Genomic DNA, 12,142 nt, shown 5'->3' on the forward strand with positions numbered 1-12,142 from the left:
ATGTGTGTTACAATGGGGCATTACTAAAATTTCCAAATGAGCTTTAATTCCCCGAATTATTGATGTACTTCGCCATATCTCAGAATATATTCATGAGAAGTCAGTTAACATTACATTTAAAATTACTTCATCTAAGGATGGTTGCAGTGGCTCATGCCTGTAATCCCAGCATTTTGGGAGGCCAAGGAGAGAGAACGGCTTGAATCCAGGAGTTCAAGACCAACCTTGGCAACATAGTGGGACCCTGTCTCTACAAAAAATGAAAAAATTAGGGCCAGGTGCGGTGGCTCACGCCTGTAATCCCAGCACTTTGGGAGGCTGAGGAGGGTGGATCACGAGGTCAGGAGATCAAGACCATCCTAGCTAACATGGTGAAACCCCATCTCTACTAAAAATACAAAAAATTAGCTGGGCATGGTGGTGGGCACCTGTAGTCCCAGCTACTCGGGAGGCTGAGGCGGGAGAATGGTGTGAACCCGGGAGGTGGAGCTTGCAGTGAGCCGAGATCGTGCCACTGCATTCCAGCCTGGGTGAAAGTGCGAGACTGTCTTAAAAAAAAAAAAAAATTAGTCAGATGTGGTGACGCATGCCTGTGGTCCCAGCTACTTGGGAGGCTGAGATAGGAGAATCACTTGAGCCTGGTAGATCCAGGCTTCGGTGAGCCATGATTCTGCCACTGCCCTCCATCCTGGGCAACAGAGTGAGACACTGTCTAAAAAAAATAAACAAATGAATAAATAAAATTACTTCATCTAATAGTAATTAAATAAATGCTATCAGAAATATACAACCAAGCTGGGTATGGTGACGTGCACCTGTAGTCCCAGATACTTATGAGGCTGAGGCAGGAGGACTGCTTGAGGCTAGGAGTTTAAGACCACCCAGGGCAACATAGCAAGACCCTGTCTCTGCAAAAATGAAAATAAATTAGCCAGGAATGGTGGCACATGCCTGTAGTCCAAGCTACTTAGGAGGCTGAGGTGGGAGGATCGCTTGAACCCAGGAGTTTGAGGTTACAATAAGCTATGATGGCACCGCTGCACTCCAGCTTGGACCACAGAGCAAGACCTTGTCTCTAGAAAAAAAAAATGTACAACCACAATTAATAAGGGGAACATGAATGAAAGTTACCCCAAGATGATATACACTCATTCAACATTCAACAGATAATTACTGACTCCCTACTTGGTGGCAAGCACCATGCACTACACATCTATTCCAAGGATTCTAGTCTTTCAATTATCTGAAGCAATACCTATTGATGGTTGATGAGACACACAGGAAGAAACAATTTCTTCAGTCCTACGTGGCCTCACAACCTCTAGAGTCCATATACTGAAGAGTCTCCTAAAGTGATTTTGAAGAGTTAAGAGGTCCTTTAAGAACTTCAGTACCTGAAAATCACAGGCACAAGAGAATATCCAGTTCCCCAAAGAACTTCTACATGAGACCTACAAAAAAGATCCTTAAAGCAACTATGGTACTCTTTCCAGAGAAGGAAAATGAACTCATTGTATCCTACAGGCAGCCGAAGGCTTACTAAAACTTTTACACCTAACTTTTACAACTGATAGGTATAATTTCAACTTTTCTGACTACCATTCCTTAGTTTATTGAGGCTTGTAATACTGTATGTCTTTATATATTATTTGGAAAATATTGTCAAGGAATAAAGGGGACCTAAGGAAAGGCAAAGGAAAGCCAAACAACTATAGCATGTTATAATCCGACCTTACCCATAACTTGGTAGAAAGGCTTTAGGAAATGTTTATTCTAGTTCAGTGGCCTTTTTTCTTTTTTTTGGATCATGCATCCTTGGTAAAATACTTTCAACTCCACATCCCCAAATACGGTATTTACCTACATAAATATGTCTATACTAATATGTTACGTACATTATAAAATACATGCAAATTTTTTAATTAAAAAATGAGATAGGGCAGGGTGCGGTGGCTCATGACTGTAATCCTAGTACTTTGGGAGGCTGAGGCGGGCAGATCACTTGAGTCCAGGAGTTCAAGACCAGCCTGGGCAATAAGGCAAATCCTGTCTCTACTAAAAATACAAAAATTAGCCAGGTGTGGTGGTGCATGCCTATAGCCCCAGCTACTTGGGAGGCAGAGGTGAAAGGATAGCTTGAGCTGGGGAAGTGGAGGTTCCAGTGAGCTGAATCATGCCACTGCACTCACGCCTGGGTGACAGAGTGAAACCCCGACTCAAAAAAAAAAAAAAAAAGAGAGAGAGATAGAAAATTTAACATTTCAAACGTTTTGTTTTTGTTTTTGTTTTTGTTTTTTTGAGACAGAGTCTCACTCTGTCGCCCAGGCTGGAGTGCAGTGGCGCATCTCGGCTCACTGCAAACTCCGCATCCCGGGTTCACACCACTCTCCTGCCTCAGCCTCCCGAGTAGCTGGGACTACAGGTGCCCGCCACCATGCCCGGCTAATTTTTTTGTATTTTTAGTAGAGATGGGGTTTCACCATGTTTGCCAGGATGGTCTCGATTTCCCGACCTCGTGATCTGCCTGCGTCGGCTTCCCAAAGTGCTGGGATTACAGGCGTGAGCCACCGCGCCTGGCCCACTCAAATGTTATTGACACAGAAAATCTTTTTATTATTAAAATTTATTTTAACAATATATTTTTAGTGCAATGAATGTAAACTGAATTTTTTTTCTTTTTTTCTTTTTTTTTTTTTCAGAGACAGGGTCTCGATATGTTGCTCAGGCTGGAGTGTGGTGGCTATTCACAGTCACAATCCTAGTGCATTGCAGCCTTGAACACCTGGGCTCAAGTAATCCTTCTGCCTCAGCCTCCCACGTAGCTGGGACTACAGTCATGAGCCACCACACCCAGCTAAATTTTTTTTCTTATTCTTGGTTTAGCACTTTGCTATATACCAAAAGGTAGGTATTATTTCTACTTTATAGATGAAAAAACTGAAGTTTGAGAGATTATATAATCTGACAAATGTCAGCACTATTATGGCAGAGCAGGGATGGAAACTTCTATCTGTAGAACTCTAAAGCCAATGCTCTTAACCAATATATTCTAAGAAAAGAGGCAATCAGAGATAAATTTATTTTGAGGTATAAGTCAAAAACAAAGAATAACTCCTTCTGACCAATCTGAATAAATCTGAATTATTTGCTCATTTGATTCCTATTAATATAATCAGTTAAAATCCCTGAATGACTCTTTGGGTAAGTCATTTAACTTATTTCAATCTTAGTTTCCCAATATGTAAAATGAGAGACTTGGACAAGGTGATCTTTAAGGTGCTTTTCAGCATTAACATTCTAGGAGTCAAAAATGAAGATCTAATAAGGCATACATCTTTAAGCAGAATAAACAGACCTTTGCTGATCTCCACATTAGGAAGGTTGAAGATTTCAAGGTCCATCGTGGCTCCTTTAGTCCCTTCTGAGAGGTCTAAGAGGACAAGCCTGTCTGCAATACCCTGTACAGTAAGAGAAAGAACATTACACTGAACATGGCCAGTGACTCAATTTAAATTCATTCAACAATGAGGACTAAAGGACAATAAACAGGCCTCATACACTGTCTTTTAGTGTTAAGAAGAGTAAGTAACACAATAGCAATAAAAGTGACATGCAAGCAAGAAATTATTAACTTTGGCTGGGCTTGGTGGCCTGTAATCCCAGCACTTTGGGAGGCCAAGGCAGGCGGATCACCTGAGGTCAGGAGTTCAAGACCAGCCTGGCCAACATGGCGAAACCCCACCTCTACTAAAAATACAAAAACCAGCCAGGCATGGTGGCACATGCTTATAATCCTAGCTATTCAGGAGGCTGAGGCAGGAGAATCGCTTGAACCCAGGAGGCAGAGTTGCAGTGAGCCAAGATTGTGTCACTGCACTCCAGCCTGGGCGATAGAGCGAGACTCTATCTCAAAAAAAAAAAAAAGAAATTATGAACTTCAATAAGTAATCCTTTAGGCTTGACTACTAAAAGCTTTAACAGGGCTTAACTCACAAGTCACAGATTGCAGGTTTCTTTTGAGAACAGCATTTCACTCTTGTCGCCCAGGCTGGAGTGCAATGGTACAATCTCGGCTCACTGCAACCTCTGCCTCCTGGGTTCAAGTGATTTTCCTGCCTCAGCCTCCCAAATAGCTGGGATTACAGGCATGCACCACCATGCCCACCTAATTTTGTATTTTTAGTAGAGACGGGGTATCACCATGTTGGCCAGGCTCATCACAAACTCCTGACCTCAGGTGATGTGCTCACCTTGGTCTCCCAAAGTGCTGGAATTACAGGTGTGAGCCACCGTGCCCAGGTCTGCAGGTTTCTTTTTCTTTTCTTTTCTTTTCTTTTTTTTTCTGAGAAGGAGTCTTGCTCTGTCGCCCAGGCTGGGGTGCATTAGCACGAGCTCAGCTCACTGCAACCTCCACCTCCCAGGTTCAAGCGATTCTCCTGTCTCAGCCTGCCAAGTGGCTGGGATTACAGGCGTGCACCACCTCACCTGGCTATTTTTTATATTTTTGGTAGAGATGGGGTTTCACCATGTTGGCTAGGCTGGTCTCGAACTCCTGACCTCAAGTGATCTGCCTGCCTCGTCCTCTCAAAGTGCTGGGATTACAGGCATGAGCCACTATGCCTGGCCCCTGCAGGTTTCTTTTAATGGGATGAGTTAATAAAGATGACTTGGTGCACTCAATACTTCTGCTATTGCTCTTGATTTATGTTTTCATTTTGATGTTATCATTTTCATTCTGAAAGTGCTTTTGGGTCTATTTGTGTGTCTTATTTCTAGTAGAAAAGTTAAAAAAATAATGCCAGCTTTTTCTTAAAAAAAGTATAATAGCTATAAAATCTAAAATCAAATCCTATTATCATGCAGTACTCTCCCCAGAGATCTCATGGAAAATACTCCACATGCCTGTAAATAGGGCGGCACAGTGGGCTGACTGTAAATAACAGCATGGAAACTCCTAAAAATCAGTTTACCTTTATGGAAGGTCTTTCTTCAAAGTAGTAGGAGACTTGAAGATATCTCCTATTTTAGGATTCACGGGCAAAAGTACCCAAAGATCTACCAGACTATCAGACAGAAAGTGTGATGGTAAAGAAAACAACCCTGGCTGGGCACGGTGGTTCACACCTGTAATCCCAGCAGTTTGGAAGGACAGGATGGGCATAGGCTGGAGTCCAGGAGTTTCAGACCAGCCTGGGCAACATGGCAAAACCCCGTCTCTACACACACACACACACACACACACACACACACACACACACACACACACAGAGAGAGAAAGAAAATAACCCTGCTACACTATGTATTAGCTATGTAACACCAGGACAGTCACTGAATTCGGCCTTACTTTATGAGGTTGTAAGGATTAATTATGTGACACAGGGCTTGCATATAGTAATCCCCTCTAAAACATAGTTATTAATTTTATTGCTAACCATACCCATAAGGAAAATGCAAAGAAAACTATGAGTTACCATTTTCATTTATAAGGCACAAAAAAATCCAAAAGTTTAGCAGTAGTTGTAGGAAAATAAGTATTCTTACATATTATGGGTATGGGAATAAACTGGTATAATTAATAAAAGATAATTTGACAATTTTCTATCAAAAATTTAAAACATTAACTTCTTGAATCCATCAATTCATTTATAGAAATCATCCTACAAATTTATCAGTACATGTGTAAAAGAGTACAATATTAAGGATATTCATAAGACTAGGAACAACAAAACGTTCATCAGTAACAACGAGACAATATAGTGGTTTATAGCAGAGATTGAAAAAGTTTTAAAATGTCACCATGTAATCAATCCGTGAAGCATATATTATCACCAGGGATTTTATTAAAATGCAGATTTTGGCCGGGCATGGTGGCTCAGCCCTGTAATCTGAGCACTTTGGGAAACCAAGGCAGGTTGGTTGCCTGAGTTCAGGAGTTTGAGAGCCCCGTAGCCAACATGGTGAAACCCTGTCTCTCCCAAAAATACAAAAATTAGCCGGGCCTGGTGGCGCATGCTTGTAGTCCCAGCTACTCGGGAGGCTGAGGCAGGAGAATCTCTTGAAGCCGGGAGGTGGAGGTTGCAGTGAGTGGAGATTGCGCCATTGCACTCCAGCCTGGGACAGAGCGGGACTCCATCTCAAAAAAAAAAAAATGCTGATTTTGTTTCAGTAGGTCTGGGAAGGGTCCTGGATTATGCATTGCTAGCAAGAACTCAGGTGGTACCAATGCTGCTAGTTTGAAAGCCACACTTTGTTTAGTAAGGATCTAGAATACAGGCTCTGATAAACAGATTACCTGGTCTTTAAATTCTCGCTTCATCATTTATTAACAGTGTAATTTGGGGCAACTTGGGTAACCGCCCTATGCCTTTGTTTCTTCATTTGTAAAATGTCAGTAATAACAGTACCTAAACAAAGGGTTGTTGTAAAAATGAGTCAAGTGGGCCAGGCACGGTGGCTCATGCCTGTAATCCCAGCACTTTGGGAGGCTGAGGCTGGTGCATCACCTGAGGTCAGGAGTGAGTTCCAGACCAGCCTACCAACACAGTGAAATCCCATGTCAACTGAAAGTACAAAAATTAACCAGGCATGGTGGCACGTACCTGTAATCCCAGCTACTTGGGAGGCTGAGGTGGGAGAATCGCTTGAACCCGGGAGGCAGAGGTTGTGGTGAGTCAAGGTCACACTACTGGCCAGGCACGGTGGCTCACGCCTGTAATCCCAACACTTTGGGAGGCCGAGGCGGGCAGATTGCCTGAGGTCAGGAGCTCAAGACCAGCCTGGCCAACATGGTGAAACCCCGTCTCTACTAAAAATACAAAAATTACCCAGGTGTGGTGACGGGTGCCTGTAATCTTAGGCTAAGGAAGGAGAATCACTTGAACCCAGGAGGCAGGAGGTTGCAGTGAGCTGAGATCACGCCACTGCAATCCAGCCTGGGGAACAGGGCGAGACTTCGTCTCAAAAAAAAAAAAAAAAAAGTTTGCGCCACTGCACTCCAGCCTGGGTGACTGAGCGAGACTCCATCTCAAGAAAAAAAAAAGAGTCAAGTGTTTAGACAAGTGCCTGGTACCTAATAAGCATTGTGTAAAGGTTAGTTGCTGCTGCTACCACCACTACTTTTGTTGCCACTATTATGAGTACTATCACTGTTGCAGTCATAATAGTGGCCTATGAATATTGTACTTTGTATCAAAATATTAACGTCTAAAAAGAAAAACAGAATTTTTTTTTGAGACAGGGTCTCACTGTGTCGCCCAGGCTAGAGTGCAACTGCACAATCGCAGCTCACTGCAGCCTCAACCTCCCAGGCTCAAGCAATCCTCAGCCACCCAAGTTGCTGGGACTACCAGTGTGCACCACCACACCTAGCTAATTTTTAATTTTTGTAGGGTGGAGGCAGTGGCTGACACCTGTAATCCCAGCACTTTGGGAGGCTGAGGCAGGCAGATCACCTGATGTCAAGAGCTCGAGACCAGCCTGGCCAACATAGCGAAACCCCCTCTCTACTAAAAATACAAAAATTAGCTGGGTGTAGTGGCACACGCCTGTAATCCCAGCTACTCGGGAGGCTGAGGTAGGAGAATCACTTGAACCCGGGAGATGGAGGTTGCAGTGAGCTGAGATCATGCTACTGCACTCCAGCCTGGGAGACACAGCGAGACTCCATCTCCAAAGAAAAAAAAAAAAATTTTTTTTGTAGAAATGGGGATCTCGCTGTGTCGCCCAGGCTGGTCTCAAACTCCTGGGCTCAACTGATTCTCCTGCCTTGGCCTCCCAAAGTGCTGGGAGTACAGGTGTAAGCCACCGGGCCCAGCTGAAAAACGGCAAATTTTCCACCCAGACAATTCACAGACAAATAATGACAGTGAGATTCTTCTAACAGTTTAAAAACATGGCCAGGAGCAGTGACTCATGCCTGTAATCCCAGCACTTTGGGAGGCCAAGGCAGGAAGATAGTCTGAACCAGGAGTTCAAGACCAATCTAGGCAACACAGGGAGACCTATCTCTACAAAAAAACTAAAAATTACCTAGGTGTAGTGGCACACCCCTGTGGTCCCAGCTACTCAGGAGGCTGAGGTGGGAAGATCTCTTAAGCCCAGGAGATAGAGACCGCAGTAAGCCATGATCATACCAGTGCATGCCAACTTGGGCTACAGAGAGAAACCTGGTCTCAAAAACAAAAATGAAAAACCATGACTTTCAGACTTTCAGATGCCTTCTTGTGCTTACCAAAAAAAAAAAAAGACAAATAATTACAAATAAATAAAACTTAGTACTGTTAGGGATGTCAAAAATCAGGTTGATGTGCATGTTATTAGCAGCATAAATTAGTTCTGCCTTTCCAAAGAGCAATCTGGCACTATGTCATAAGTGCTATAAAAACCATTCATGCCCTCTGACTCACTAGTACTATTTTTTAAAATTATGTACAACCAGGCCGGGTGCAGTGGGGCATGCTTGTACTCCCAGCACTTTGGGAGGCTGAGGCAGGAAGATTGCTTGAGCCCAGGAATTCAAGACCAGCCTGGGCAACATGGTGAAACTCTGTCTCTACAAAAAAATACAAGAATTAGTGGGGATGGTTGCTGGCGCCTGTAAGCCCAGCTACTTGGGAGGCTAAGGTGGGAGGATGGCTTGAGCTGGGGAGGTGGAGGGTGCAGTAAGCTGAGATTGCACCACTGCATTCCAGCCTGTGCAACAGAACATGACCCTGTCTAAATAAAATAAAATAATGTATGACCAAATAAAAATTCAGATGAGAAAACAAGCAACTTGAAATGTTTATAGAAGCATTTATTTAGTGACAAAAGACTGAATACAACTCAAATTCTAATTAAGAGGTAATAGCAGGCCAGGTACGGTGGCTCACACTTGTAATCCCAGCACTTTGGGAGGCCAGGGCAGGTGGATCACTTGAGGTCAGAAGTTCGAGACCAGCCTGGCCAACATGGCAAAACCCTGTCTCTGCTAAAAATACAAAAATTAGCTGGGCGTCGTGGCGCATGCCTGTAGTCCCAGCTACTCTGGAGGCTGAGGCAGGAGAATCGCTTGAACCCAGGAGGCGGAGGCTGTAGTGAGCCAAGATTGTACCACTACACTCCAGCCTGGGTAACAGAGCGAGACTCCACCTAAAAAAAAAAAAAAAAAAAAAGAGGTGATAGTGTATTCAAATGGAGGGTGAAAGAAATAAAACTACAGCATGCCAAAAGTTGGCATATTTAACTCTGAGCAGCCAGCTTTTAAGATATTCTAGCTCCATGGATATAATTTAATTATTTGCTGCAGTAGAACCCACCTCCAAGACATATGTGAGTCTTAAATGGAAAGGGAAGAATTTAGATGGCAAAACAATCAAATATATATAGAAAAGAAAAACTAATGCCAGCCACCAAATAAATATATAGAGGTACAGCTATTCTATTCAGGGCTACATCTCTCAAATGACAAAAGACATGCTGTTATCATGATACTAGGCTCTGGAGGGAGGCAGGCAGGTCTTTTGAACCTCTCTGGAAGGGCATTTAAGCTTTCCTGCAAACAATTTATGCAGACACTAGTAAAAAGGACTGATGAAAAAAACAAACCCTAAACTAGTATTAAATATCAACTCAGAAACTGTGATCCTAAAAGAAAGTAATTATGTAAGAAAAGGCCATCTTTAAAAAAAAAAAAGCCAATTTTAGAAAGAGCTAAAATTACTACATTAAATGAGTTTAATTAAAGTGGCATGATTCAGAAAATACAAAAGAATTTGTGATTAAGTCATATGAATGTCAAATTGAGCTTTCCCTTGGATGAGGATAAGCCCATTGTTCAAATCACTTTTTTAAACCTACTAATTAAAAGGCAACATCACTGATGAAAGCTTTCAACTTTTTTGTCAACTTACTAAATATATTTTAAGCCAAAATAAGGTTTTCCCACGACAAAATGAAGGCATTTTTTGGTGTGTAAAACACAACCTGCCTAGAAGTGTGGCACTATGATAGATGTATTTATAACCACTATGTTTACATACCTTTGCTGAAATTGCTAATGTGCAGGCAATACCGAGTTCTCCACCTCCAACCACAGTAATTTTATTGACTGTTTTATTCTCATGATTTGCCCAGCTCTTTGAATTTGTATCTGAAACACCTAGAAAGAAAGGTGAATTATCCTGAGAATTCAAAAATATCAAGAATTTTTTTAGGATCTTTAAAAAAAATATATAGCAGGCTTCATAGCTTAGAGAGAAAATATGGTGCTAGTCCATAATGGGCAAAAAATACTACTGAACAAATGAATGCAAGGAAGGCAGACGTTTCCTATTAAATAGTCGACTAAATAGAAATTATCCTTCTAAAGAGAATGTATCTTTCTAAACATTTTTAAAATATTGTATAAGACTCTAAAAAAGTAGGATTTCCATAATTCTGAAAAATATTCCAACTCATTGCTCTGGTCTACAATAAAAAAATATGTCTAACACCTTACCAAATGTTTCAAACATAGGTATTTGCCTTTATTCTTGATGAGAATCATAGATATTCTGATCCAATATATTGAATAAGCCAACAAGCCACATATACATATCATGAAAAAAAGTTTGGGATCATTAATATACAGCAAGTGGTTTTGAACAAGAATTGTTTTATCTGTTTAAGACCAATTCTTTACACTTTAAGAAACCTGGCCAGGCCCGGTGGCTCATGCCTGTAATCCCTGAACTTTGGGAAGCCAAGGCGGGAGGATCACCTGAGGTCAGGAGTTCAAAACCAGCCTGGCCAACATGGCAAAACCTCATTCTTATCAAAAATACAAAAATTGGCTGGGCATGCCTGTAGTCCCAGCAACATGGGAGGATGAAGCAGGGGAATCGCTTGAACCCAGGAGGCAGAGGTTGCATGAGCCCATATGGTACCACTGCACTCCAGCCTGGGTGACACAGCGAGACTCCATCTCAAAAAAATAAAAAAATAAATAATATTTATTGGAATTACATGGTAATACCCTGTGATAAAGGCAAAGGAATTACTTTTTTTTTCTTTTTTTTTTTTTTTTGAGATGGAGTCTTGCTCTGTTGCCCAGGCTGGAGTGCAGTTGTTCAATCTCAGCTCACTGCAACCTCTGCCTCCCGGATTCAAGCAATTTTCCCACCTCAGCCACCCAAGTAGCTGGGATTACAGGCACCTGCCACCACGCCCAGCTACTTTTTTTATTTTTAGTAGAGATAGGGTTTCACCATGTTGGCCAAGCTGGTCTCCAACTCCTGACCTCAGGTGATCTGCCTGCCTCAGCCTCCCAAAGTCCTGGGATTACAGGAGTGAGCCACTGCGCCTGGCCTGAGGCACAGGAATTTCTTATTTCAAAAACAGATGTACATACGCACACAAATTTATTTATAAAAATCAAGTGGCAGAAAGTAAAGGAGTTTAGTGAGAAACTGGTAACTCATAACTCTCAAGATAATCTGCCTGACAAATATACAAACCTTCAGTGATTTTTGCAATATAGGCTAGCAAGTCTACCTGCCGTGCCTCATCAGATGATGATAGAGAATACATGGGAAGTTCCTCTTGAAACTTGGCAATCATTTCTTTAATTAATCCAACAATGACAGATTTAGGCTGTAGAATACACAAAAAACAGAAAAGTTACACAAAAATTTTGCTGAAGAATACTACCTTTGTTGAGGCAGGAGTATTACTTGAGCCCAGGAGTTTCAGATGCAGTGAGTTATGGTTGCACCACTATACTCCAGCTTGGGCAACAGAATGAGACTTCATCTCCAAACAAAACAAACAAAAAATCTTTTTTAACCTATACATTCTTTTAGAGTTAGTCAAAAAGAAGCATTCAATCATGTTCTCATTTTTCAAAAATCATCATACACATTATATGATACTTTTAACTGTTGTAATGCTTTTCATGAAAAATTACTGAATACTTTTAACTGAAAAATAAAGGAAGAAGAAATGCTAATTCAACATTTCCCAAAAGTAGAAAAATAGCATGAATATGCTTAATAGCCGAATACCTAGGTTTAGGAACTCTCCTTTTTTTAACTTTTCATTTTGAAATAATTTCAGACTTACAGAAAAGTTGCAAAAATAGTACATATACTCTTCACCTAGATTACTCAAATGTTAACATTTGATC

The 12,142-nt window shown here is 41.7% G+C and overlaps 1 protein-coding gene across 8 annotated transcripts in view; it reads right to left on the reverse strand.

Annotated features, from left to right (window-relative positions):
• UEVLD (UEV and lactate/malate dehyrogenase domains) overlaps positions 1–12,142 on the reverse strand; it is a 59,126-nt gene that overhangs the window by 25,264 nt on the left and 21,720 nt on the right. For 6 of the 8 annotated variants that reach the window (NM_001261384.3, NM_001261383.3, NM_001261382.3 and 3 more), the window contains 3 exons: positions 11,475–11,610; positions 10,020–10,138; positions 3,356–3,458 (listed from right to left, as the gene is read on the reverse strand). In NM_001261384.3, the coding sequence (NP_001248313.1) occupies positions 3,356–3,458; positions 10,020–10,138; positions 11,475–11,577 (325 nt within the window). In that variant the 5' untranslated portion in view covers positions 11,578–11,610. Of the gene's footprint in view, positions 1–3,355; positions 3,459–8,773; positions 9,130–10,019; positions 10,139–11,474; positions 11,611–12,142 lie in introns of those variants that run through there. The other 2 variants (NM_001297771.3, NM_001261386.3) reach the window with 2 other exon arrangements.

The sequence above is a fragment of the Homo sapiens genome, chromosome 11 (assembly GCF_000001405.40).
Source record: "Homo sapiens chromosome 11, GRCh38.p14 Primary Assembly".
Classification (NCBI taxonomy): Eukaryota; Metazoa; Chordata; class Mammalia; order Primates; family Hominidae; genus Homo; species Homo sapiens.